Source organism: Homo sapiens, chromosome X (genome assembly GCF_000001405.40).
Source record: "Homo sapiens chromosome X, GRCh38.p14 Primary Assembly".
NCBI classification, from domain to species: Eukaryota; Metazoa; Chordata; class Mammalia; order Primates; family Hominidae; genus Homo; species Homo sapiens.
In genome coordinates, this window is record NC_000023.11 from 49133336 (window position 1) to 49158963 (window position 25628).

At 48.7% G+C, this 25628-nt stretch overlaps 1 long non-coding RNA gene and 1 pseudogene across 1 annotated transcript, besides 10 other annotated features; one reads left to right on the forward strand and one right to left on the reverse strand.

Annotated features, from left to right (window-relative positions):
- Positions 1-6269: 6269 nt before the first annotated feature.
- On the reverse strand, positions 6270-22943 carry LOC105373195 (uncharacterized). The gene is made up of 3 exons (XR_007068230.1): positions 22631-22943; positions 15049-15830; positions 6270-12184 (listed from the first exon to the last, which is right to left on the reverse strand). It is a non-coding gene; the product is annotated as an uncharacterized LOC105373195 (long non-coding RNA).
- Positions 14664-14814: a transcriptional cis regulatory region, noted in NCBI's record as "candidate enhancer chrX.1004 targeted for multiplex CRISPR interference". NCBI's record gives its function as "positively regulates PLP2 gene expression with high confidence in K562 cells {active_cell/tissue: K562}" and the evidence as "EXISTENCE:mutant phenotype evidence [ECO:0000015][PMID:30612741]".
- Positions 15212-15786: a transcriptional cis regulatory region, noted in NCBI's record as "candidate enhancer chrX.1005 targeted for multiplex CRISPR interference". NCBI's record gives its function as "positively regulates expression of the PLP2 gene with high confidence and the EBP gene with lower confidence in K562 cells {active_cell/tissue: K562}" and the evidence as "EXISTENCE:mutant phenotype evidence [ECO:0000015][PMID:30612741]".
- Positions 15255-15755: a transcriptional cis regulatory region, noted in NCBI's record as "intergenic|chrX:49004925-49005425 region (GRCh37/hg19 assembly coordinates) targeted for CRISPR interference". NCBI's record gives its function as "positively regulates PLP2 gene expression in K562 cells {active_cell/tissue: K562}" and the evidence as "EXISTENCE:mutant phenotype evidence [ECO:0000015][PMID:31784727]".
- RN7SL262P (RNA, 7SL, cytoplasmic 262, pseudogene) lies at positions 19331-19609 on the forward strand (annotated as a pseudogene).
- Positions 21813-23273: a transcriptional cis regulatory region, noted in NCBI's record as "intergenic|chrX:49011485-49012945 region (GRCh37/hg19 assembly coordinates) targeted for CRISPR interference". NCBI's record gives its function as "positively regulates PLP2 gene expression in K562 cells {active_cell/tissue: K562}" and the evidence as "EXISTENCE:mutant phenotype evidence [ECO:0000015][PMID:31784727]".
- Positions 21813-23283: a biological region, named in NCBI's record as "CRISPRi-FlowFISH-validated PLP2 regulatory element 1". NCBI's record gives its function as "regulatory_interactions: PLP2".
- Positions 22624-22773: an enhancer, noted in NCBI's record as "active region_29629". NCBI's record gives its function as "activates an Ori minimal core promoter by ATAC-STARR-seq in GM12878 lymphoblastoid cells {active_cell/tissue: GM12878}" and the evidence as "EXISTENCE:reporter gene assay evidence [ECO:0000049][PMID:35858748]".
- Positions 22964-23283: a silencer, noted in NCBI's record as "silent region_20836". NCBI's record gives its function as "represses an Ori minimal core promoter by ATAC-STARR-seq in GM12878 lymphoblastoid cells {active_cell/tissue: GM12878}" and the evidence as "EXISTENCE:reporter gene assay evidence [ECO:0000049][PMID:35858748]".
- Positions 22989-23133: an enhancer, noted in NCBI's record as "145 bp enhancer 76/77 fragment used in the MPRA reporter construct; PK_construct_4815". NCBI's record gives its function as "activates an SV40 promoter by MPRA in K562 cells {active_cell/tissue: K562}" and the evidence as "EXISTENCE:reporter gene assay evidence [ECO:0000049][PMID:23512712]".
- Positions 23054-23069: a transcriptional cis regulatory region, noted in NCBI's record as "ZFP161 motif; MPRA enhancer 76/77 activity is reduced when this motif is scrambled". NCBI's record gives its function as "necessary for full MPRA enhancer 76/77 activity {active_cell/tissue: K562}" and the evidence as "EXISTENCE:site-directed mutagenesis evidence [ECO:0005528][PMID:23512712]".
- Positions 23494-24192: an enhancer, noted in NCBI's record as "H3K4me1 hESC enhancer chrX:49019052-49019751 (GRCh37/hg19 assembly coordinates)". NCBI's record gives its function as "activates a minimal SCP1, AML or CMV promoter by ChIP-STARR-seq in primed H9 embryonic stem cells {active_cell/tissue: H9 hESC(primed)}" and the evidence as "EXISTENCE:reporter gene assay evidence [ECO:0000049][PMID:30033119]".

Here is a 25628-nt window from a genome sequence, read left to right on the forward strand (position 1 = left end):
ACTCCCAACCTCAGGTGATTGGCCCGCCTCGGCCTCCCAAAATGATGGGATTGCAGGCGTGAGCCACCACATCCAGCCAGGTAATTTACTTTTATTTATTTATTTATTTTTGGGAAAAGGTATCACACTGTTTGCCCAGGCTGGAGTACAGTGGCTCAGTCATAACTTACTGCAATCTCAAATTCCTGGGCTCAAGCACTCCTCCCACCTCAGGCTCCCAAGTAATTCCCAGCTAATTTTTTCTTTTTTTAGTGGAAAGGAAGTCGCACTATGTTGCCCAGCCTTGTCTTGAACTCCTGGGCTCAAGTGATCTTCTTGTGACTGGGTAATGTATTTATTTTTATTTATAAATGTTTTTTATTTATATAATTGGGACTCACTATGTTGCCCAGGCTGGTCTCCAACTCCTGAGCTCAAGCAACCCTCTTGCCTTGACCTCCCAAAGTGTTAGCATTACAGGTGTGAGCCACTGTGCCCGGCACTTGAAATCTTTTTAAACATTTTTATTTACTTATTAGTTATTTAAGGCTGGGTAATTCATAAAGTGAAGAGGTTTATGTGGCTCACAGTTCTGCAGACTGTACAAGAAGCATGACAGTATCTGTTTGGCTTCTGGTCAGGGCCTTTTGCTGCTTTCATTCATGGCCTAAGTCCAAGGAGAGCCACCATGCAGAGATCACATAGGAAGAGCCATGCAAGAGAGAGGGGAAGTGCCAGGCTCTTTCTTTCCTTCTTTCCTTCCTTCTTTCTTTCCTTTCTTCTTTCCTTCCTTCCTTCTTTCCTTCTTCCTTCCTTCCTCCTTCCTTCCTTCCTTCCTTCCTCCCTTCCTCTCTCTTTGTTTCTTTTTTAGATGGAGTCTCACTCTGTTGTCAGGCTGAAGTGCAGTGGTGCAATCTCATCTCACTGCAACCTCCGCCTCCCGGGTTCAAGCGATTCTCCTGTCTCAGCCTCCTGAGTAGCTGGGACTACAGGCACGCGCCACCACGCCCGGCTAATTTTTTGTATTTTTAGTAGAGACAGCGTTTCACCATGTTGGCCAGAATGGTCTCAATCTCTTGACCTCGTGATCCACCCACCTCGGCCTCCCAAAGTGCTGGGATTACAGGAGTGAGCCACCACGCCCAGCCTTTGCCAGGCTCTTTTCAACAACCAGTTCCCCAGGGAACTAAGAGTGAGAACGAACTCACTCCCTTCCTGAGAGATCCACCCACAAGATCCAAACACCTCTAATCAGGCCCCTCCTCCAACACTGGGGATCAAATTTTAACACGAGGGTTGGCGGAGCCAAACCGTGTCTAAACCATAGGAGTAAGCTTTTCTGTGTTATTTGTGACAATTCATCAATCTGTATGCTTATAAATCAGTGTATGCCATACCGTGATTAAACAGGTTTAAAAATTCTTCTAGAAGTTTTAACAGGGAACAATAGCTAGAATATTTTGTTAAGTGGAAAAAGCAATTTCAGAAGTGTGCAGGTGACTTCTGGGGAATTGGTCACAGTCTCTTTTTTAACCTGGCAGGGGTTACACATATATTAATTTTACAATTCATTAAACTGTTTATGTACATTGTATGCATGTTCTTCTCTATTAGCTATATATCACCATTTTAAAAACTAGAGAGAGAAGGACTTTCAGATGGGTAGGATGAGGAGCTTAGTGGACCTTCTCCCCAACAAAGCAAGCATAACTGGTGGAAATTATTAAAAAATAAAACAACAACCCCCTGAGAGTTTTCAAAGGTCATACAGCAAATGGAGACACATTTATTCAAGAAAATAGGCCGGGTGTGGTGGCTCACGCCTGTAATCCCAGCACTCTGGGAGGCCGAGGTGGGTGGATCATTTGAGGTCAGGACTTTGAGACCAGCCTGGCCAACATGATGAAACCCCATCTCTACTAAAAATTAAAAAATAATTAGCCGGGTGTGGTGGCACATGCTTGTAATCCCAGCTACTGGGGAGGCCGAGGCAGGAGAATTGCTTGAACCCAGGAGGCAGAGGTTGCAGTGAGCAAAGCTCACGCCACTGCACTCCAGCAAGGGCAACAAGAGTGAAACTGTCTCAAAAATAAAAATAAAATAAAATAGGCCAGGTGCGGTGGCTCACACCTGTAATTCTAGCACTTTGGGAGGCCGAGGTGGGTGGATCACCTGAGGTCGGGAGTTCGAAACCAGACTGCCCAACATGGTGAAACCCCATTTCTACTAAAAATACAAAAATTAGCCGGGCGTGGTGGTGCATGCTTGTAATTCCAGCTACTCGGGAGGCTGAGGCAGGAGTATTGCTTGAACCTGGGAGGCAGAGGCTACAGTGAGCCGAGATGGTGCCACTGCACTCCAGCCTGGGCAACAGAGCTAGACTTCGTCTCAAAAAAACAAAACAAAACAAAACAAAACAAAAACCCAAAAAACAATAACAACGACCAAAAAAAAAACCTTAAGGGAAGGGGAAAGTATGATGACGCTATTTCATCAAATAGAGAAGATTAAGTAAGAAGTAAAAATTACAAAAAACCCACAAATTGCCGGGCGCGGTGGCTCACGCCTGTAATCCCAGCACCTTGGGAGGCTGAGGCGGGTGGATCACGAGGTCAGGAGATCGAGATCATCCTGGCTAACACGGTGAAACCCTGTCTCTAATAAAAATACAAAAACAAATTAGTCTGGTGTGGTGGCGGGTGCCTGTAGTCCCAGCTACTCAGGAGGCTGAGGCAGGAGAATGGTGTGAACCTGGGAGGCAAAGCTTGCAGTGAGCCGAGATCGCGCCACTGCACTCCAGGCTGGGCGACAGAGTGAGACTCCGTCTCAAAACAAAACAAAACAAAACCCCACAAATCTTGAAGTTGAATAGTACTGTATAATAACTGAAATGAGAAGAGAAAAAAGAAAAAAATTCACTAGAGGGGATAACAGTAAATTAGAGCTGGCAGGCAAAAGCACCAGTGAACTAGTAGAGAGAACAATATGGATTATGCAAACTGAAGACCAGACAGTAGAAAGAATCAAGAAAAATGAACACAGCATCAGAGAAATATGGGACACCATTAGGTGCACCAACACACAAGTAACAGCAATAGCAGCAGAAGTGGAGACATGCGAGATGAAAGGGGAACATTAAGCATACATACATACATACATACATACATACATACATACATAAAAGAAGTGAAGACAGGAAGTATCATGGCTGCGAGTAGCTGGGGCCTGTGTTGCAAGCAGTAAAGGAATTTACCAAGACAGTCGTAGGTAAAGAAAAGCAGATTTGGCTCAGCGTGGTGGCTCACGCCTGTAATCCCAGCACTTTGGGAGGCCGAGGCAGGAGGATCATGAGGTCAGGAGATTGAGACCATCCTGGCTAACACGGTGAAACCCCATCTCTACTAAAAATACAAAAAAAAAAATTAGCTGGGTGTGGTGGTGGGTGCCTGTAGTCCCAGCTACTCGGGAGGCTGAGGCAGGGGAATGGCGTGAACCCAGGAGGCAGAGCTTGCAGTGAGCCAGGATCGGGCCACTGCACTCCAGCCTGGGCGACAGAGCAAGACTCTGTCTCAAAAAAAAGAAAATAAAAGAAAAGAAAAACAAATTTAGGCCAGGCACAGTGGCTCACATCTGTAATCCCAGCACACTGGGAGGCCTAGGTGGGTGGATCATTTGAGGTCAGGAGTTTGAGACCAGCCTGGCCACCATGGTGAAACCCCATCTCTACTAAAAATACAAAAATTAGCCAGGCATGGTGGTGCATGCCTGAAATACCAGCTACTTGGGAGGCTGAGACAGGTGAATCGCCTGAACCCAGGAGACGGAGGTTGCAGTGAGCCAAGATTGCGCCACTGTACTCCAGCCTTGGCAACAGAGGGAGACGCCGTCCCCCCCAAAAAAATTTAAAAAAATAAAAAATAAAAAAGTCTGGGCATGGTGGCTCATGCCTGTAATCCCAGCACTTTGGGAGGCTGAGGTGGGAGGATCACCTGAGGTCAGGAGTTTGAGACCAGCCTGACCAACATGGAGAAACCCTGTCTCTATTTAAAAAAATACAAAATTAATCCCAGCTACTTGGGAGGCTGAGGCAGGAGAATTGCTTGAACCTGGGAGGCAGAGTTTGCGGCGAGCCAACATCACGCCATTGTACTACAGCCTGGGCAACAACAGCTAAACTCTGTCTCAAAAAAAAAAAAAAAAAAGAAAAAAAGGAAAAAAGAAAAGCAGATTTGTTAGAGAAAGTATGAAGATACATTGCAGGGTACAACAGGCAGCAGAGAAGGGGCTGTCTGCCAAGAGGCGGGGGCTGGAGGTTCATGCTGGAGGGGCCTACCTGGTGGAATGAGGTCATTGTGCCAGCAGGTTGTTTGTGATTAGCCATCTCTCAGAACAATTGTTCATTGTTCTCCCCATCCTGGGGCCCTTCCTGAACTAGGGCCCCTTCCTTGTTACTTAGTTATCAGGACTAAACAGGAAGGAACAGAAAAAAATATCCAAAGAAATAACAGCTAAAAACTTCCCACATTTGATGGAGAAACTTGTTTTTTTTTTTTTTTTTTTTTTTTGAGATGGGGTCTCACTCTGTCACCCAGGCTGGGGTGCAGTGGCTCAACACAACTCACTGCAGCCTCAACCTCCCAGACTCAAGCGATCCTCCCACCTCAGCCTCCGAAGTAGATGAGACTACAGGCACACACCACCATGCCCAGGTTTTTAAAAAAATTATTATTTGTAGAGATGTGGTCTTGCTATGCCCAGGGTGGTCTTAAACTCCTGGGCTCAAGGGATCTTCCATCCTAGGCCTCTCAACCTGTTGGGATTACAGGCATGAGCCACCATGCCCAGCCTGATGGAGAAACTTTCTTTATTCTTTTTTTTTCAGATGGAGTCTCCCTCTGTCAACCAGACTGGAGTGCAGTGGCTCGATCTCAGCTCACTGCAACCTCCACCTCCCTGGTTCAAGTGATTCTCCTGCCCCAGCCTCCTGAGCAGCTGGGATTACAGGTGCCCACAACCATGCTAAGCTAATTTTTGTCTTTCTTTCTTTCTTTCTTTCTTCCCTTTTTTTTTTTTTTTTTTTTGAGACGAAGTCTCGCTCTGTTGCCCAAGCTGGAGTGCAGTGGCGTGATCTCAGCTCACTGCAACCTTCACTTCCCGGGTTCAAGCAATTCTCTGCCTCAGCCTCCCGAGTAGCTGGGATTACAGGTGCCCACCACCACTCCCAGCTAGTTTTTGTAGTTTTTACTACAGATGGGGTTTCACCATATTAGCCAGGCTGGTCTCAAACTCCTGGCCTCAGGTGATCTACCCGCCTTGGCCTCCCAAAATGCTGGGATTACAGGCGTGAACCACTGTGCCTGGCCTTTTTTTTTTTTTTTTTTTTTTTTGAGACGGAGTTTCACTCTTGTTGCCCAGGCTGGAGGGCAATGGCGCAATCTCGGCTCACTGTAACCTCTGCCTCCTGGGTTCAAGCGATTCTCCTGCCTCAGCCTCCTGAGTAGCTGGGATTACAGGCATGTACCACCATGCCTGGCTAATTTTGTATTTTTAGTAAAGACAGGGTTTCACCATGTTGGTCAGGCTGCTCTTGAACTCCTGACCTGAAGTGATCTGCCCACCTAAGCCTCCCAAAGTACTAGGACTATAGGCATGAGTCACCACGTGGGTCCCTGATGGAGAAATTTTAATCTACACATCCAAGAAGTTCAATGAACAAGTAAGATAAATGCAAAGAGGTCCACACCTAGTGTAGGATCCCTGAGTTCCTCCTCCTTTCTTTTTGTGTTCTGACCTAAAATCACAGAGTGCTTTGGCCATTCTTCCACCCAGCGAGCTGCAGGTTTTTCTCAGCAGGCTTGAACCCAAACCAAGGCCTTGAACATTCCCAGGCACTGATAAAGGTATCTGGGTTGTTGCCCAAGCACTGAAAGAAACTGACCCTAGCCCTGAACAAATTCCTTAAAGCCTCATATAAACTCCATACCGTGACCCTTTGGCTGTGGACATACCTAAGTAGAACACCCCTTTTCTCTCATTGTCCCTCATAAGGACAGAGTGCTGTCTCTAGGAATCGATGGAACTGGACTGGATCCCTGAGTAAATATTTTAGTCCAAGGGGAGGTCCACAAGCGATCTGTCTCTGCAGCACTCTGTATGTAAATTCCCCCAATATGCATTTTGGGCTTATCGCCCTGGCATTTAGTGCTTCTGTTTTTGGAATCCCAACTCATCCCATCTCAGGATCATTTTGTAGCAGGACGAGCCGCAGACAGAACCCCTCAGACACTGGGTTAAAGAAGGAAGAGGCTTTATTCGGCCAGGAGCATCGGCAGGCTTGCGTCTCAAGAACTGAGTCCCAGAGAAAGAGTTCTTGGCCCTTTTAAGGGCTTACAGCTCTAAGGGGTCCACATGAAAGGGTCGTGATAGATTGAACAAGCATGGGGTACATGGCTAGGTGGGGGTGGTGAGCAAGGCAAGTGTTTCTCCATACCATTGTCTGTGATCTATAGATAGCACAAGCGGTTAGGGTGTGGGTTAATCTTTAACCTACGGGCCTGGCCAGTGGTGCTGATCAGTCTGTTATTTTTTCAGTTTTTACTTCCTCCTTTTCTTTGGAGATAGGGGACAGTAGGAGAAATGGCCTCTCTCCTCATTCCCCCCTTTGAGAACCTCACTCACTAGTGGGAGTTCTCATTATCATCCTCACTATCTAGATCTTCCTGTGAGACAGATCAATAGTGATTCATGTAGTATACTTGTGCTGAGGTCTTTTGATGAACTAAGGTGATAACGAAGCTTCTTAGTAACTGGAGAAATATGGGTAACATACAGGGGAGTAACATGCAGGTTCCTAACACCATTATCATTCCTATTATAAGAGTTTTAAATCCTCCTAGAGCTGGAAGCCATTTTCCAAACAGGGATCCAGGATCAAACCTATGCCAAACCTGCATGGGTACATGTGCCAGCTTTGTCATGTCTCTAACTATATTTTTGACTACTTGTCCTTGATCATCTCTTTGCAGACAGCACTTGGTCAAGTTGAATTTTTCACAGACTCCTCCTTCAGCTGCCAGCAAATAGTCTAAGGCCAATCTATTCTGATAGATGGCATTTCTCATTTGGGTTTCCTGCTGGGCTAAAAGAGTTAAAGCTCTGCCAGTTTCACTAGTGATTATTTCTAAGATGGCCTGTAACCGTATGATCCAGTTGAGCATGTAGATGGGGGTATGGTATCCCTATGAGTCGTCTTGTGCCCATGTGGCAGGCCTATAGTACTGTATGATCCTTTCGGGGCACCACTCATCATCTTTCCAATTTGCTATAGCTATGCTCCTCTTTTCTTGGGAGGCATAGACAGGGAAACCTAGGAGGTCACCTGTTTTTATGGGCAGTAGGAAAAAGGATGGCTTAATGGTGCCAATGACACAACTACCTGCCCATTGATCAGGTAACTGAGTGTAGGCTCTGTGCCTACATATCCAGTATAGTCCAGCGGGAGCCATCCAGTCTTGATGAGATTGTGGATGGGCCTAAGCAGTCTGTAATTTAGGAAATTTACTGAAGGGATTATTTTCAGTATGGTTTAGACCCCACCAGGTGACTGTCCCTGTGTCCCTGTTATGCTTTTATACAGCTTCTGTCCTAGACAATTGAGCCTTCCTACAGGGATGGTGAAGTCTTTTCCTTTTCTAGGTATGCAGTATTGTCCATTAATAGAGGTTTTCAAGACCCAAAAGTTGCTAGTTTGGGCCTTCTGGACTGGAATTATGTCAGGAACTGGATCAGTAGGCACTAATTCTTGGGTTTCCCAAGGCCATCAGTCTCCCATAGTGGTTCCCTCACATACATAACAGGAAGTAACATTGAGGGAATGAGCTACATATTCTGCTAACTGGAGAAACAAGTTCTTTGTCCTTTTTTGTGGAAGCTCTGGTGCTGGCAGATTCAGCTCATCATAAAAGGTCTGAAACACTGGTTTGGAAGATCGCTTGTGGACCTCCCCTTGGACTAAAATATTTACTCAGGGATCCAGTCCAGTTCCATCGATTCCTAGAGTTACATACTCTCCTGTTTTCCAGCAGGGATCAAGGGGATTGGTAATTAGTAGTTCAATGGGTTACAGTGACCACTAGTGCAGGAAGAGTTACTCTTTCCTTTTTGAAGGCGGACAGGGTCCTTCTCATCTTTTTTTCCAGGTGGCCTAAATGACACAGGACCAGTAACTACATTCATCACTTCACAGTCCTAATTCATGACAAACATACTTATTTTCTACTATATAGCCCCTTTCCCAATCTAGAGAGCCACATCTTATTCTATTTCCATATGGGTCACTGTTGATTGCTGCACAGGCATCAAATTTTAAGATAATTTGTTTGGGGACTCCTTTCTCTTCTGTTCTAGTTATTACTTTACTAGTATCAGCTTTTCCCCAGCTGCCAGTCCTCGATCTTATTTCAAAAACAGTAGTCATAGGGGGGCTCAGATGGGTTATAGTACACATCAGACTGGTCACTTCCTGGGCTACATACCTTGTATAGAGTAGCATTATACAAACAAGTTCCTTTTAGAGTCCCAGTACACTCATACTAACTATAAAATAATAGGACTGCAGCAACCTTTTGTCCTACCTTAGTGACTTGATTTTGTCCTACCTTAGTGACTGGGAACAGTTCTCAGTCTGAGGAAGGTCAGCTGAAGTCCTTACTGTACAAGTCCAAAATTTAAGGAAAATGAGTCCCACGATGAGTTTTCTCATGCTTTGGCCATGCGTGGACCAGTCAGCTTCTGAGTGTGACTGGAGCAGGGCTTGTCATCTTCTTCAGAGTCACTTTGCAGGGGTTATCTAGGCTTGGTCTCACCTCCCAGGTCTCAGGTGCTGCAGGTTTTACCTGGCTGTGTTGGATCCAGGCTGGGATTCCCTCTATCTTTACGGCTGTGGGAGTGGTCAAGATGATGGTCTGGGGTCCTTTCCACCGTGGCCGCAAGGAGCCTATGTTCCAATCCTTGATCCACACCTGATCACCTGGGGAGAAAGGGTGAACTGGGGAGAATAAGCTGCCGGGGCACCTCTCATTTACCCAGGCTGAAATTGTGTAATTTTCCCTAAAGCCTGTAGCTGTCGCTGTAACGCAATTTCACCTAGCTCTCGAGGAGTGCCTGGGAGTCCCCGTAGTATGGGAGGGGGCCTATGATATAATATTTCATAAGGGGAATATCCTGTTCTTCTAGAAGGGGTACATCTAATCTTAAATAATACCATAGGGAGAGCTTGTACCCACTTTAATCCTGTTTCTTGACACACTTTCCCTAAACTATTTCCGATAGTGCGATTCATCTGCTTCACCTTTCCGGAACTTTGTGGTCAGTAGGTGGTATGTAGTTTCCATGTGATCCCCAATACCTTTGCTGTCTTCTGTAACAAGTCAGCCACAAATGCCGGCCCGTTGTCTGAGCTGATTTGTAAGGGCAGTCCAAACCTAGGGATGAGATCTCGGAGAAGCACATGGGTTACTTCACGAGCTTTCTCGGTCCGTGTTGGATAGGCCTCCACCCACCCAGAGTATGTACACACTAGAACTAGCAAATACTTGTTACCTCCACATTTGGGCATCTTGGTGAAGTCTACTTGGAGATCTTCAAAAGGGGCTGCTCCATAAGCTTGTATGCTGGCGGGGATGGTTAGACCTTGCCTAGCATTGTGCTGCCAGAAGGTGACACACTGCTGCGCCACTGTTTTGGCAAGGGCTGAAAGATGCAAGATGTAGAAGTACCAGCCTAACAACTTTTCAAGTGACTCTTGGCCTAGGTGGGTGGTCTCATGCACAGCCAGTATGACTGCGGCTCCTAGCAGTTGTGGCACAGCTATTCTTCCATCCGATAACTGGATCCATCCCTCTTCTATCACCTGCCCTCCCTCTGCCTGGAGAAAGTCCTTCTCTTTAGAATAAGTAGGTACAAGGTCAGGTGCCTGAGGGAGCAGGGGGCTGTGACTGATGCCTGGTAGGGGGTGGATGCTGCTTTTCGAGCCTCTGAGTCAGCTTGGGGGTTCCCCAAGGCAATCGAGGTAGAAGCTCGCTGGTGTCCTCTGCAGTGCATGAGCCACCTTTTGGGGCTTCCACACTGCCTCTAATAATTGCAGGATCTCTTGCTGATACTTTATGTCTTTTCTCCCAGCGTTCAACAGGGCTTTTTCCTTGTAGAATGCCCCACGCAGTTGGAGAGTTAAAAAGGCATACCAAGAGTCAGTGTAAATGTTTACAGTCTTACCTTCACTTAGCTCAAAGGCCAGAATTAAAGCAATGAGTTTGGTCTTGCGGGCTGAAGTGCCCTAGGGCAACGATTTGGCTTCAATGACAGCATCCAGGATTACCATATCCTACACACCTCTCTTCTTGTGGGTCGACAAAGCTGCTCCCGTCCACGTACAGCTCCCAGTCTACTGTTGTCCAAGGATGGTCTCGGAGGTCGGGCCTGCTAGAATAAACTGACTGCAACACCTCTACACAGTTATGTTCAACTTGGCTCTCTGATACCAGGAGCAAGGTGGCGGGGTTCAGGGTGTTGCAAACTTCAATGGTTATGCGGGGATTCTCACAGAGCAAGCTTTGGTACCTAGTTAGTCTAGCATTCGTTAGCCAGTTACGTCCTTTGGTGTTCATTAGTGTTACCACAGCATGGGGAGGCCTTTATGTTTTTTCTTTTTTTTGAGATGGAGTCTCACTCTGTTGCCCAGGCTGGAGTGCAGTGGTGCGATCTTGGCTCACTGCAAGCTCTGCCTCCCGGGATCACGCCATTCTCCTGCCTCAGCCTCCCGAGTAGCTGGGACTACAGGCGCCCGCCACCATGCCCGGCTAATTTTTCTGTATTTTTAGTAGAGATGGGGTTTCACCGTGTTAGCCAGGATGATCTCGATCTCCTGACCTCATGACCCGCCCGCCTCAGCCTCCCAAAGTGCTGGTATTACAAGCGTGAACCACCGTGCCCAGCTAGGGGGCCTTTATGTTTAGGTTTTGCCCTAAACATAAAGTTAGGGCAAGAGGTAGCTTATCTGCCTCTAGTGCTAGCAGGGCAGTTGCTGCCAAGGCTCTTAAGCACAGGGGCCAGGCTCAATTATCGACAGATAATTCTTGTCGATACTGGTGCTGAACATTCAGTAGTAACCACCCCAGTCGCCCCCTTATCCAAAAAGACTATTGATATAATTGGAGCCACGGGGGTTTCGGCAAAGCAAGCTTTCTGTTTGCCCCAGACCTGCACTGTCAGGGGGCATGAGATAATTCACCAGCAATTCATCCTGCCTGGACTTTCTCCAGGCAGAGGGAGGGCAGGTGATAGAAGAGGGATGGATCCAGTTGTCGGATGGAAGAATAGCCATGCCACAACTGCTAGGAGCCGCAGTCATACTGGCTGTGCATGAGACCACCCACCTAGGCCAAGAGTCACTTGAAAAGTTGTTAGGCTGGTACTTCTACATCTCGCATCTTTCAGACCTTGCCTTAGAAACTCCATCTAGCTCTTTGGAGAGGTAGGCTACCGGTCTTGGCCAGGGCCCCACCATCTGGATTAAAACTCCAATGGCCATTTTTTCTCTCTCTGACACATACAGTGTGAAAGGTTTTGTTAGGTCAGGTAGCCCCAGGGCTGGGGCCGACATGAGTTTCTCTTTTAACTCATGAAAAGCTCATTGCTGTTGGGACCCCCATTTGAAAAGTTCTGTGTCTCCTCACTTTGTGACTCCGTACAGGGGCTTAGCCAATACTGCAAAGTTTGGGATCCACAATCTGCAGAACCCTACAGCTCCTAAGAATTCTCTCACCTGCCTTCTGGTCTTAGGCTCCAGCAGGTTGCAGATGACTTGCTTTCTTTCTGATCCCAGGCTGTGCTCTCCCTGTCGGATAGTAAATCCCAGGTAACATACCTGCTATCTGCAGATCTGAGCTTCCTTCTTGGACACCTTATACCTATAGTCCTCCAGGTGCCAGAGCAGGGTATCCATTCCCTTGGCACACATGACTGCCATGGGGTGTCCCAGCAGGAAGTTGTCAACGTACTGGAGCAGCACGAAGCCTAGGTCTCTGGTGGGAATTTTCTGGAGGTCTCGAGCCAGTGCCTCCCCGAAGATGGTGGGGGAGTTCTTGAACCCTTGGGGGAGCCGGGTCCAAGTGTACTGAGTGGTGACAGCTGACTCCAGATCCTCCCACTGAAAGGCAAACAGTTTTTGGCTCTCAGGAGATAGTCTGATGCTAAAGAAAGCATTTTTTAGGTCCAAGCAGGTGAACCAGCTGTCCTCAGCTGGCAGCAACCCCAACAATGTGTATGGGTTGGATGCAAAGTCACTTTGCTTGGTTGACCATATGCAAATCCTGTACTGGCCTGTAGTCCTTGGTCCTCAGCTTGGGAACAGGTAGGAGGGGAGTGTTCCATGGAGACTGACAAAGGACTATAATTCCAAAGGCCCTCAGATGCTTGAGATGGACCCGGATGCCCTCAAGGGCTTCTCTGGGGACCAGGTACTGCTTTTGCCTGACCAGCTGGGCCCCAGGCTTAACTTCTATTAGTATGGGGGCCTGGTTGATTGCCAACCCTGGCGGGTTGTCTTCCTCCCACACCCTTGGCCACCGCTTAGCCAGAGCTGGTCCTATCTCTTGGCCTGGCTCAGCTAAGAAGAGTCTCCATTCCTCCTCCCGAGGAACCATAAGGGCCATGATGACTCCCTTTCCAGGTAACTTTAGCTGTAAAGAGCCATGCTTTGTAAAAGAGATAGTGGCTCTCAGCTTGCTAAGTAGGTCCCTTCCCAGTAAAGGCAAGGGGCAGTCAGGCATGTACAGGAACTGGTGAATTACCTCATGTCCCCCGACAGTGCAGGTCCAGGGCAAACAGAAAGCTTGCTTTGCCGAAACCCCCGTGGTTCTGATTATATCAATAGTCTTTTTGGATAAGGGGGCGACCAGGGTGGTTACTACTGGATGTTCAGCACCAGTATCGACAAGAAACTCAATGTCCTTGCCCCCGACTGTCATTCTGACCATGGGCTCTTTGGGTGCACATGAGCCTAGTCCCCCTCAGTCCAGTAACCCTTCTGCCAGATTAAACAAGGCCCTTTCGTCCTTGTCTGAGGCCTCCTGCTCAGTCACCTTGTTTCCCTTTCAACTGGGGGCACTTGTCCTTCCAACATCCCATTTCCTTACAGTAAGCACACTGGTTACGCTGCAAGCGTGGATGGCCGGACTGGGTATTTTTCCTGGGGCCCCCCTTTCTCGCCCCTTCGGGGGGGACCCCTCTATTGCTGTGGCTAGCAGGTCGGCGTTTCGCTGGGCTTGGCGTTCGCTCTCTCTGCAGTTCTCTCTGCGGCTTACAGCATCTCTATTCACAAACACCTGGTTGGCTATCTCCAATAACTGTGAAGTGTTCATGCCTGCAAACCCAGCCTGCTTATGTAGTTTTCTTCTAATGTCTTCTGCACTTTGACTAACTAAAGCCATGTTAATCATGCGCTGGTTTTCAGGGTTGTTGGGATCAAAGGGAGTATACATACAATAGGCCTCACATAGTCTCTCGTAAAATTGTGCTGGACTCTCTTCCTTTCCTTGAATAACCTCAGATATTTTATTTATATTGGTGGCCTTCTGAGCTCCTTTCTTTAACCCTTCCAGGAGGGCTTCCCTCTACCAGTTTAGCCTTTGCATACCCTGTCTTTCATTTGGGTCCCACTGGGGGTCTGTTCCTGGTAACTGGGCCATCACATACTCTTGGGGGTTTTTGTAATCAGCCGGAACATGTTCCTCTAGCCACTTAGTCGCTGCTTGGAGCACCCTTCGCCGTTCATCCGTGTTAAACAGGCACATGAGCAACTGGTGGCAATCAGCCCAAGTAGGGTTGTGGGTCTGGATAATAGTTTGGAGCAAATCAATTATAGCCTGAGGCTTTTCAGTATAGGATGGGGTATTGTTTTTCCAATTGAGGAGATTGGCAGAGGTGGAGGGTTGGTACACAAAGGCACGCCTTTCCACCATATGCCCGTCCTCGTTTACCCCAGTATACCGTTGCTCTCTCAGGGGCATTTGTATCCCAGTTTTAGGCCTCAAATGGGCTACCAAGTGAGGAGTTTCTCCTGAGGTCTTGCATCCTTTCTTTTCTACTCTAGGTGGCCTAGGGGTATGTAGGCCTTGTGGAAGCTTGGGCACAGTGGCCTCAGGAGTGGGAGGCCTTCTTTCTTGGTGAAAGGAGGGGCCACTGGCACTGTTTCTTGCCATGAATCCTTTGATGTTGGGTCGGACAGGACTTTAGGCGCCGACTTCCCTCAGTGGGTGAAGCGGGATTCTTCCTTGGCTGTCTGTCCCTTTGCCACTAGTACTGCTGCTGCCTGTCCTCTTAACCACTGTAGGGGGTCTAAAACCAGCTGTAACCAAGTGTCTATGTATGGAAAGTGGTCTGGGTTTTCTGGCTTACCAGTTACCTTGTGCCATACCTTTGAAACAAAGGACCTGTCTAGGCCTCCTTCTGATGGCCAACCCACTTCTAATGCTGGCTAATCTATCTCACTTAGGTCCTAAGTTTTCCTGGGGTCATAGTAACCCCATAATCTCCATTAAAACCTTTTTTGAAATTCTTTAACATAGTTCCTAATGGAGTGGTCTTACTTTGCGTCTCACCCATCTCCACCCCCACCCAAGACAAAAATGGCACTCACGACACAAGAAGGGAAAGGGTAAAGGGGTCACCCACTCTCCTCGGCAGTCACTGGCCGCTTCCCTCGCGGGAATCTCAGATCCTCTTAGCTTAAGCAGGCTGGTACCAGGCGCCAGCACGAACTGCCACTTAGCCATGTGAGGTATCCTACGGAACTGCAGCTTGGGGCTCAACGCTCACTTTGGATGGCGACCACTGTCCATCCTGTGCCCGTCTAAAACAAGCATTCACTCACTTTCACTTTCCTTTTTTTCAAACAAGCCAAGCCAAATCATAATCAAAACTGAGACCAAAGTGCCGATAAGGGCACACTGTGGGTGATCAGGCCACGCTTCCACTCAAATGGAGTGGGTAAGTTCCCAGGACTGGTCCTACCATATTCCAGATGTCCAGACTCCAAGTGCCAGTTCCTTCCTGGTGTTCAGCCGCTGCATTGATCCTCTGTGGGGGCCTGCCATGCACCGCTCTGACGAGGTGTTCCACGAGGGCAAATGCCTACCCGGGAGTGCTCTCAGGATCCGCGTTGCTCAAACTGGCCGGAGTCCCCTGCAGGGATGCTCCGCAGGGCAGGCCTAAGCCGCCTAAGGGGCTGCCTCGACCATCGTTAATCACCTCGCTTCCCGGTCAGGGAACCAAGAAATGTAAGGAAGAGGCTTTATTTGGTCAGGAGCGTTGGCAGACATGCGTCTCAAGAACGAAGCCCCCCTAAGAAAGAGTTCCTGGCCCTTTTAAGGGCTTACAACTCTAAGGGGTCCACGTGAAAGGGTCGTGATAGATTGAACAAGCATGGGGTACATGACTAGGTGGGGGTGGTGAGCAAGGCAAGTGTTTCTCCATACCATTGTCTGTGATATATAGATATCACAAGCGGTTAGGTTGTGGGTTAATCTTTAACCTACAGGCCTGGCCAGTGGTGCCGATCAGTCTGTTATTTTTCAGTTTTTACTTCCTCCTTTTCTTTGGAGACAGGGGACAGTAGGAGAAATGGCCTCTCTCCTCAATTTCAGCCACTCCCTTGTGGGAACTCCCTTACTGCTCATTTTTGAGAGATTCCAGCCATGGTTAGACAGGACAAAACACTCAGGCACATCATGGTCAAAAATCTTGAAATCCAAAGAGAATATCTTGCAAGCACAAATAGAAAAATGACCTGTCACCTATAAGGAAACTCCAATAAGATTAAGAGTTGACTTCTCATCAGAAACAAGAGAGCCCAGAAGACAGCTAAAATCATATTTAATGGTGAAAGACTGAATACCTTCCACCTAAGATCAGGAACAAAACAAGAGCGTCTGCTCTTGCTCCTTCTATTCAATATCATATTAGAAGTTCTAGCCACGGCAATTAGGCAAGAAAAAATAGGCATTCAGGGCCGGGTGCAGTAGCTTACGCCTGTAATCCCAGCACTTTGGGAGGCCGAAGCAGGTGGATCACGAGGTCCGGAGTTTGAGACCAGCCTGACCAACATGGTGAAACCCTGTCTCTACCAAAAATACAAAAATTAGCCAGGCATGGTGGTGCGCGCCTGTAATCCCAACTACTCAGGAGGCTGACACAGGAGAATTGCTTGAACCTAGGAGGCGGAGGTTGCAGTGAGCTGAGATCGCGCCATTGCACTCCAGCCTGGGCAATAGAGCAAGACTCCATCTCCAAAAAAAAAGGCTGGGCGCGGTGGCTCATGCCTGTAATCCCAGCACTTCAGGAGGCCGAGGCAGGCAGATCACAAGGTCAGGAGATTGAGACTATCCTGGCTAACACAGTGAAACCCCATCTCTACTAAAAATACAAAAAATTAGCCAGGTGTGGTGGCGGGTGGCTGTAGACCCAGCTACTCGGGAGGCTGAGGCAGGAGAATGGCATGAACCCGGGAGGCAGAGCTTGCAGTGAGCCGAGATTGCACCACTGCACTCCAACCTGGCGACAAATAAATAATTTTTTAAAAGTTAGCTCAAAATTGGCTGGGTGCGGTGGCTCACGCCTGTAACCCCAGCACTTTGGGAGGCTGAGGTGGGCAGATCATCTGAGGTCAGGAGTTCAAGACCAGCCTGGCCAACATGGTGAAGCCCCATCTCTGCTACAAATACAAAAATTAGCTGGTGTGGTGGCGCATGCCTGTGATCCCAGCTACTCAGGAGGCTGACGCAGGGGGAATTCCTTGAACCCAGGGAGGGGAGGTTGCAGTGAGCTGAGATCGTGCCACTGTACTCCAGCCTGGGTGACAGAGCAAGACTCTGTCTCATATATATATATATATACATATATACACACACACAATGTATTTATATATATATATGTATATACACATGCACAAATGGCCAATAAGCACAATGAAAAGATGCTTAAAATCTGTATTAATTTCTGATTGCTGCTCTAACAAATTACCATACATTTACTGGCTTGAAACAACACCACAAAATGTCTTACAGTTCTGTAGGGCAGAATTCTCATCAGGCTAATATCAAGGTGTCAGCAGGGCTGCCTTCCTTGTGGAGAATCTGTTTTCCTTGCCTTTTTAAGCTTCTACAGGTGGCCTGCATTCCTTGGTATGTGGCCATTTCCTCCATCTTTTTCTTTTTCTTTTCTTTTTTTTTTTTTTTGAGGCGGAGTCTCGCTCTGTCACCCAGGCTGGAGTGCAATGGCGTGATCTCGGCTCACTGCAAGCTCCGCCTCCCAGGTTCACGCCATTCTCCTGCCTCAGCCTCCCAAATAGCTGGGACTACAGGCGCCTGCCACCACGCCCGGCTAATTTTTTGTATTTTTAATAGAGACGGGGTTTCACTGTGGTCTCGATCTCCTGACCTCGTGATCTGCCCGCCTCGGCCTCCCAAAGTGCTGTGCTTACAGGCGTGAGCCACCGCGCCCGGCCACTTTTTCTTCTTTTTTTTTTCTTGAGATGGAGTTTCGCTTTTGTTGCCCATGCTGGAGTGCAATGGCGAGATCTCTGCTCACTGCAACCTCTGCCTCCTGGGTTCAAGCAATTCTCCTGCCTCACCTTCCCGAGTAGTTGGGATTACAGGCGTGTGCCACCGCCCGGCTAATTTTTGTATTTTTAGTAGAGACGGGGTTTCACCATGTTGGCCAGGCTGGTCTCAAACTCTTGACCTCAGGTGGTCCGCCCGCTAGCCACTGTGCCCGGCTAGCACTTCCTCCATCTTCAAATCTTTCTCTATCACCCCTGCTTCACATTTCCTTTTCATCCCTTGTCATATTTTCTTCACTGATTCTCCTGCATCCTCTTTTATTTTTAAGAACTCCTTTGACTATATTGCCCCCCTCAATAATCCAGGATAATCTCCCCATTTCAAGATCCTTAATCACATCTGCAATGTATCTTTTGCCATATAAGGTAACATATTCACAGGTTCTAGGGATTAGGAGGTGAACATCTTTGGGAGCTTATTGTTCTGCCTATCAAAACATTTATCTAAAGCATATAAAAACATAATTATTTATTAGGAAAATGCAAATCAACCATAATGAGATCCAACCTCACATCCACTAGGATGTTATATTAAAAAATACAGACAAGGGGCCAGGCACGGTGGCTCACACTTGTAATCCCAGCACTTTGGGAGGCTGAGGTGGGTAATCCCTTGAGGTCAGGAGTTTGAGACCAGCCTGGCCAAAATGGCAAAACCCCATCTCTACTAAAAATACAAAAATTAGCTGGGTGTGGTGGCACTCACCTGTAGTCCCAGGTACTTGGGAGGCTGAGGTGGGAGAATCGCTTGGACCCGGGAGGCAGAGGTTGCATTAAGGTGAGATCACACCACTGCACTCCAGTCTGGGCCGGAGCAAGACTCCATGTCAAAAAAATAAATACATAAAATACAGATAAGGCAGAGAGTGGTGGCTCATGCCTGTAATTCCAGCACTTTGCGAGGCTGAGGTGGGTGGATCATTTGAGGCCAGGAGATCTAGACTAGCCTGGCCAACATGGCAAAACCCTGTCTTTACTAAAAATACAATAAAAAAATAGCCAGGTGTGGGGATGCACACCTGTAATCCCAGCTACTGAGGAGACTGAGGTGCAAGAATCACTTGAACCCGGGAGGTGGAGGTTTTTTTTGCAGTGAGCCGAGATGGTGCCACTTCACTCCAGCCTGGGCAACAGATCGAGACCCTCTCTCAAAAAAATATATAGACAATAACAAGTGTTAGAGACGACTTGGAGAAATTGGGAACCTCATACATTGCTGGTGGGATTGTAAAATGTTGCAGTGACTTTGGAATATAGTTTAATAGCTCCTCAGAATGTTAAACTTACCCAACAATTCTACCCCTAGGTATATACTCAAGATAAATGAAAACATATGTCCACTCAAAAATTCATACACAAATGTTCAGGGCAGCATTATTTATAATAGCCAAAAAGTGGAAACAATCCAAATGTTCATTTACCAATGAATGTATAAATAAAATATGGTATGCCCATACAAGAAATATTAATTAGCAGTATAAAGGAGTGAGGTACTGGCACAGGCTACAACATAGAACTTCAAAAACATTGTGCCTTGGGAAGGAAATCACAAAAGACCACATATTGTATGATTCAATATTTAGGAAATGAGAATAAGCATATCCGTAGAGATAGTGTGTTAATGGTTGCCAAGGGCTGGAGAAGTAGAGCTAAAGGTTGTGGGGCAGACTCTGTGACCGTGCCTGCGGTCTCAACTACTCGGGAGTCTGAGGCAGGTGGCTCACTTGAGTCCAGGAGTTCGGGCTGTAGTGTGCTATGCTGATTGGGTGTTCACACTAACTTTGTCATCAATATGGTGACCTCTCAGGACTGGGCACCACCAGATTGCCTAAGGAGGGGTGAATCTACCCACGCTGGAAACAGCAGGTCAAAACTCCTGTGCTTCTCAGTAGTGGTATCGCAACTGTGAATAGCCACTGCACTCCAGCCTGGGCAACATAGCAAGATCCCATCTCTCTAAAAAAAGGCTATAGGGTTTATTTATTTATTCATTCATTCATTCATTCATTCATTGAGACAGGGTCTTGCTCTGTTGCCTAGCCTGGAGTGCAGTGGTGTGATCAGGACTCACTGTAACATCCACCTCTCCTGCTCAAGTGATTCTTCTGCCTCAACCCCTGAAGTACCTAGACTACAGGCATTTGCCATCATGTCAGGCTACATTTTTATTTTTTTTTTTGATTTATTTATTTTTTGAGATGGAGTCTTGCTCTGTCACCAGGCTGGAGTGCAGTGGCACGATCACGGCTCACTGCAACCTCTGCCTCTTGGATTCAAGCGATTCTTGTGGCTCAACCTCCCGAGTAGCTGGGATTACAGGCACGCGCCACTGCACCCAACTAATTTATGTATTTTTAGTAGAGATGGGGTTTTACCATGTTGGCCAGGATGGTCTCGATCTCCTGGCCTTGTGATCCGCCCACCTTGGCCTCCCAAAGTGCTGGGATTAAAGGCGTGAGCCACCATGCCCAACCTTTATTTTTTACTTTTAGGAGAGACAGGGTCTCACTATGTTGCCCAGGCTGGTCTGGAACTCCTGGGCTCAAGTGATCCTCCTGCTTCAGCCTCCCAAAGTGTTGGTATTACAGACATGAGCCACTGCGACTGGCATGGGGTTTCTTTTAGGAAGACAAAAATGTTCTAAATTTACAATGGGATGATGATTGCACAATCTTGTGAATATACTAAAACCAAGTGTACACTTTAAATGGGTGAATTGTATGGTATGTAAATTATATATATATCTCAATGTCTATTAAAAAGTTATTAAAAGATTGCAATAATTTTCTACCCATGATCTCCTGTATTTCAAACAAAAAGTCTGAAAGTTGATTCAGAAAAATACAGGTTACATGGTTTTGGTTTTTTGTTGTTGTTCTGATTCTTAACATGAATATATGTATTTTGTTTACATTCGAGTAGCTAAGTTTTTCTTTCTTTCTCTTTTCTGTTAGTTTTGTTTGTTTGTTTGTTTATTTGTTTTTGAGATGGAGTCTGGCTCTGTTGCCCAGGCTGGAGTGCAGTGGCGCAATCTCGGCTCCCCACAAGCTCCACCTCCCAGGTTCATGCCATTCTCCTGCCTCAGCCTCCCAAGTAGCTGGGACTACAGGTGCCCGCCACCATGTCCAGCTAATTTTTTTTGTATTTTTAGTAGAGACGGGGTTTCACCATGTTAGCCAGGATCGTCTCGATCTCCTGACCTCGTGATCTGCCCACCTTGGCCTCCCAAAGTGCTGGGATTACAGGCGTGAGCCACCGTGCCTGGTCTAGTATTTTTTTTTTTTAATTTTTAGTTTCAGGGGTGGCCCAGAGCAGTGGCTCATGCCTGTAATCCCAGCACTTTGGGAGGCCGAGGTGGGTGGATCACTTGGGCCCAGGAGTTCAAGACCAGACTGGACAAAATGGTGAAACCCCATCTCCACTAAAAATACAAACATTAGCTGGGCGTGGTGGCGGGCACCTGTAATCCCAGCTACTCAGAAGGCTGAGGCAGGAGGCAGAGGTTTCAATGAGCCGAGATGGCGCCATTGCACTTCAGCCTGGGCAACAGAGCGAGACTCTGTCTCAAAAAAAAAAAAAAGTTAAGGGGTACATGTGCAGGTTTGTTACATAGATAAACGTGTGTGATGGGGGTTTGTTGTACAGATTATTTCATCCCCCAGGTATTAAGTCTGGTAACCATTAGTTATTTTTCCTGATCCTCTCCCTCCTCCCATCCTCCAATCTCCAATAGGCCCCAGTGTGTATTGTTCCTCTCTATGTGTTCATGTGTTCTCATCATTTAGCTCCCACTTATACTGAGAACATGCAGTACTTGGTTTTCTGTTCCTGCGTTAGTTTGTAAAGGATAATGGTCTCCAACTCCATCCATGTCCCTGCAAAGGACATGATCTCATTCTTTTGTATGGCTGCAGCTAAGCTTTTCACAAAGAGCTTAAATAACATACTGAAGGTGAGGAAGCAGGTAAAAGCAGTCAGACTTGAACCCAGGCTGCCTAGCACCAGAGTTTGGAGTCTTACCCAATTCTCCATATTGGCTCAGGGCTTGTGCTATGTTTTCAGCCTAGCTTTGTCCACTGCCCTTCTTCACCTTCCATCCTTCCCCATACCCTTGTAAGCCTCCCGCCCCCAAGGTTCATTAAGGCAGACTCCAGAGCCACGTACTGTTCACAGCTCCAGAAAAGTACCCAAGGTTTTTCACGCCTGGCTGTATTTGTCATGATAGAACCTCTGCATGAAAGGCAAGGGGGTCTGTGGGGCAGACGACTATCCATGACATTATTGTCCTTACAGCCCAGAACGATAAAGGCTAGGGGATTGAAGAGGCGGAGAAAGCGGTTAGAGACTCTCCATAGAAATTGTCTCAGCCCCGCCCCTTAAATTCACTTTCTAGCCGCAGCTCCTTGAATTTACGTCCGAGCCACGCCTCCAATTAAACTGTCTCCCCACCCTCATCTCAAGTAATCCCCAAAGCTCCACCTCCTTAAAGAATCTTGGGCCCGGCCATTTGAACACCTCCAGACCTTATCTTCCTATCTCCCTTTAATAAAGCGCAGAAAACATTTCTCAAATAACACCTTTAGGATTATCTCCAAATATGGTCACACACACAGGCAAACTCCATTCGGCCCACCCTGGAGAATGCTACTTCAAAATTTGGCTCCTGTGGGGAACATCGCACACCGGGGCCTGTCGTGGGGTGGAGGGATGGGGGAGGGATAGCATTAGGAGATATACCTAATGTAAATGATGAGTTAATGGATGCAACACACCAACATGGCACATGTATACATATGTAACAAACCTGCACGTTGTGCACATGTACCCTGGAACTTAAAGTATAATAATGATAATAAAAAAAATTTGACTCCCGAACCTTCCAGAGCACACCCTTTAATCAGCCTCTAACCGTCATCCCATTCCTGACATCGCAAGCCCCGCCCCCATGGGCCTATAGGCTCCATCCCCATGACTCACATTTCAGGCCTGCCCCTTCGCTGCGTGCTCGCCCCCAGCACTCTCCAGGCCTCAAGCCCTCGGAAAGGACCCTCAAGGCCCCGCCGACCAGAACGGGGATCCAGCTACGCACACTCAACTAATCTGGCCCTCACCTACTGCGATAACCCTCAAGGAATATTCTAGGATAACCCCAAGGATCCTTCGAAGCATCCTCCGAAGCATCCTCCGATCCCCGCCCTCCCAAATCGCGCCCCTTGGCCCCACCCAAGGCAGGGCAGTAGCTGCTGACCCCCCAGGCCTGCTCCTCTGAACCCAGCTCCTCTCCGAACCTGCCCCCTGGGAGGCCCCACCCCCGTCACACACCCTCCTTCCGGCGCAGGCGCAATGTGGCGCCCGCCCTGTGTACTAGCGCCGCCACATCGACCGCAGCCCTCGCAGCCAGGGGGCGCGCGTCCAGCCGCGCCAGGAGCGGAAGGGCGCTGGGGCACGCGGGCGGGAGGGGCCCAGGCCTGCGCGCAAGAGGGGACAGGTCAACGCCGACCATCGGCCTCCGCCAACCCCCATGCTTCCGGACGCTCAAAGACTAGAAATGCCCCTCAGGATACCCGGCGACCCCTGGCCACTCCCTCGGTAGTTTCGGAGGTCACTGCTGTCCCTCCCCTCTCATGCGATCCCCGACCATCGCGGGTAGCGGGTGCACCCCCAGCCTGCTCTCACGGTGTCCCTGGAGATCGCTGTTTGACTGCAATAGTCCTAGACACCTCCGAACACCCCGTGAGGTCCTCGACTGCCCCCTAATCACCCTGGATGCCCAACTCTTCATCCACGATATCTCAGGGGACCCATTTCCCCCAGATATCCCGGGAGAACACGGCCTGACCCCGTAGCCCCGGAACCCCCAATTCCCCCTCTAGGTATCCTAGGCAACCGCTGCTACCCCCATGAATTCCCTCAGAGGGCCCGTTCCCCCCATGGCCCACATACCTCCAGAGTCCCCCTCCACAGGTCCCCAGGGGCCCCCAGCTCCCCTCCCCCCAGTTCACTAAGACCCTGAGTGCCCAGGTGTCCCCAGTGACCACGGGCAGACCCCTCCCCGCACATCTGCACGTCTCCCTGGAGACTCCTGAGAGCCCCTCCCCTGCTCTGGTGCGCGGCCCTTTCCCTCGTGTGTGGGTGTGGGTAGGGGACCTCCAGCCCAGCCTCCATCGCTGGGCCCCTGCCCCCTGCCACCTTCACTTGGGCGCCAGAGCCGCTCTGTTTACCACCTGTCAGAAGGAAAAGGTGTGGAGCAGACAGGCGGGACGGGGGTGGCGGCGACTCGCTCTGTCCTTCCCCAACATCCCCAATCCCTGTACTTCCTCTGCTCCCCTTAGGGTTCGCGGCGCCCCCTGTGCGCGGCTCCATGGCCAGTAGTCGGCCGGGTGGACGCAGGGCAGCCAGCGACGAGTTTTGAGCTCTGGGGCGTGCTCACCTGGTGACCCGCTCAGACCCTGGAAACAGGGTGGCGGGCCCGTGCCTGGTTCCTGTATCTGCGGGGTGGCCTATCTGGCGGCCAGCAAGGAGGCCTCCGTTAGCTGAGGACGCTGGGCTGGCTCCTTTTTCCACTCTGGGATGTTGCTATTCCAGCATAGGAAGGGGCAGTCGAAGCCCAGAGAAATTAGGGTACTGTCTGACCTCTGACAACTAAAAGCAGGGACGCAGAACTGGAGCCCGAGTTTACTAGGAAACTCTGCAATTTCCACCAGAGCTTTGCACAAGTAGGCACTCAGTATATTTGCAGGGAAAGTTTATCTCCCACTGTCCCTATTGGGAAACTGGAAATGTGTGGTGGGACTGAGTACCGTTGGAGCTTTTGGAGCCAAAGAATGGTTTGGTGCTCTGGGCATTATGAGGTTGCGGAACTCAAAAATTGGAGAGGGTGGGCTGGGCGCGGTGGCTCATGCCTGTAATCCCAACACTTTGGAAGGCCAAGGCAGGTGGATCACTTGAGGCCAGGAGTTTGAGACCAGCCTGGCCAACATGGCAAAACTCCATTTCTACTAAGATTATAAAAATTAGCCAGGTGTGGTAGTGGGCATCTGTAATCTTAGCTACTCGGGGGGCTGAGGCAAGAGAATCGCTTGAACCTGGGAGGCGGAGGTTGCAGCGAGCTGAGATCGTTCCACTGCACTCCAACTTGGGTGACAGAGCAAGACTCCCTCTCAAGAAAAAAAAAAAAAAAAAGAAAAAGAAAAAGAAAAGAAAAGAAAAAAAAATTGCAGAGGGCAGGTCCCTTGGAGAGTGGATGAGAGATGGGACCCAAAATTGAGGAGGCTGTGAATGAATGCATTGGAGTTGGATGGGACACTAGCTGATGTCAGTGGAGGAATGAGGCCTCTTCTATGTTTGAAAAGGGGAGTGTCTGGGGACATAAGCCCCAAGCAGGGAGCATTCGGACACAGTGTGACTGTAGTGGAAGGAGGAATGGGATTGCAGTGAGAGAGGGCCTTTCACCACTACTTTGCCAAATAAGAAACTCAGGGTCTGAGAGGCTCAGGGACCTGCCTAGGTCCCTGCAGCAAGCCAACAACACCAGTTTCAGGCAGCTTACCTACAAGACTCACTTGGTTAGTGACTATTTCACTATGGCTGTGGACACACTGTGTCCTAATGTCCATTCTGGCTGGTTGTGCAAGCCTCTCCGTTCACCTTTCAGAGACCCAGTATCCTCATAGGTGAAAGGGTCTGAACGGTTCCTGCTTTCATTCCACCTGCAGTCCCCTGCCTCTTTCACCTCTGACCTGACCTTGTCTAAGGGGGGACACCCTGGACCTCCTTCACTGCTCCTCCCAATTCTTGTTGAGACTTCCACACCTGAATCTGGAGAGGGCAGCTTCCAATCTGGGGCTCCAGGTTTTAAGAACCTGTGGATGTGAGAGTGAGGTGCTTACACACTGTGAAGGAGAGCTTGAGGCTCTGTAGCTCCATGCATGGGAGGGTCTTGCAGACTGGGGCATTGTCCAAGGGCCGAGGACAG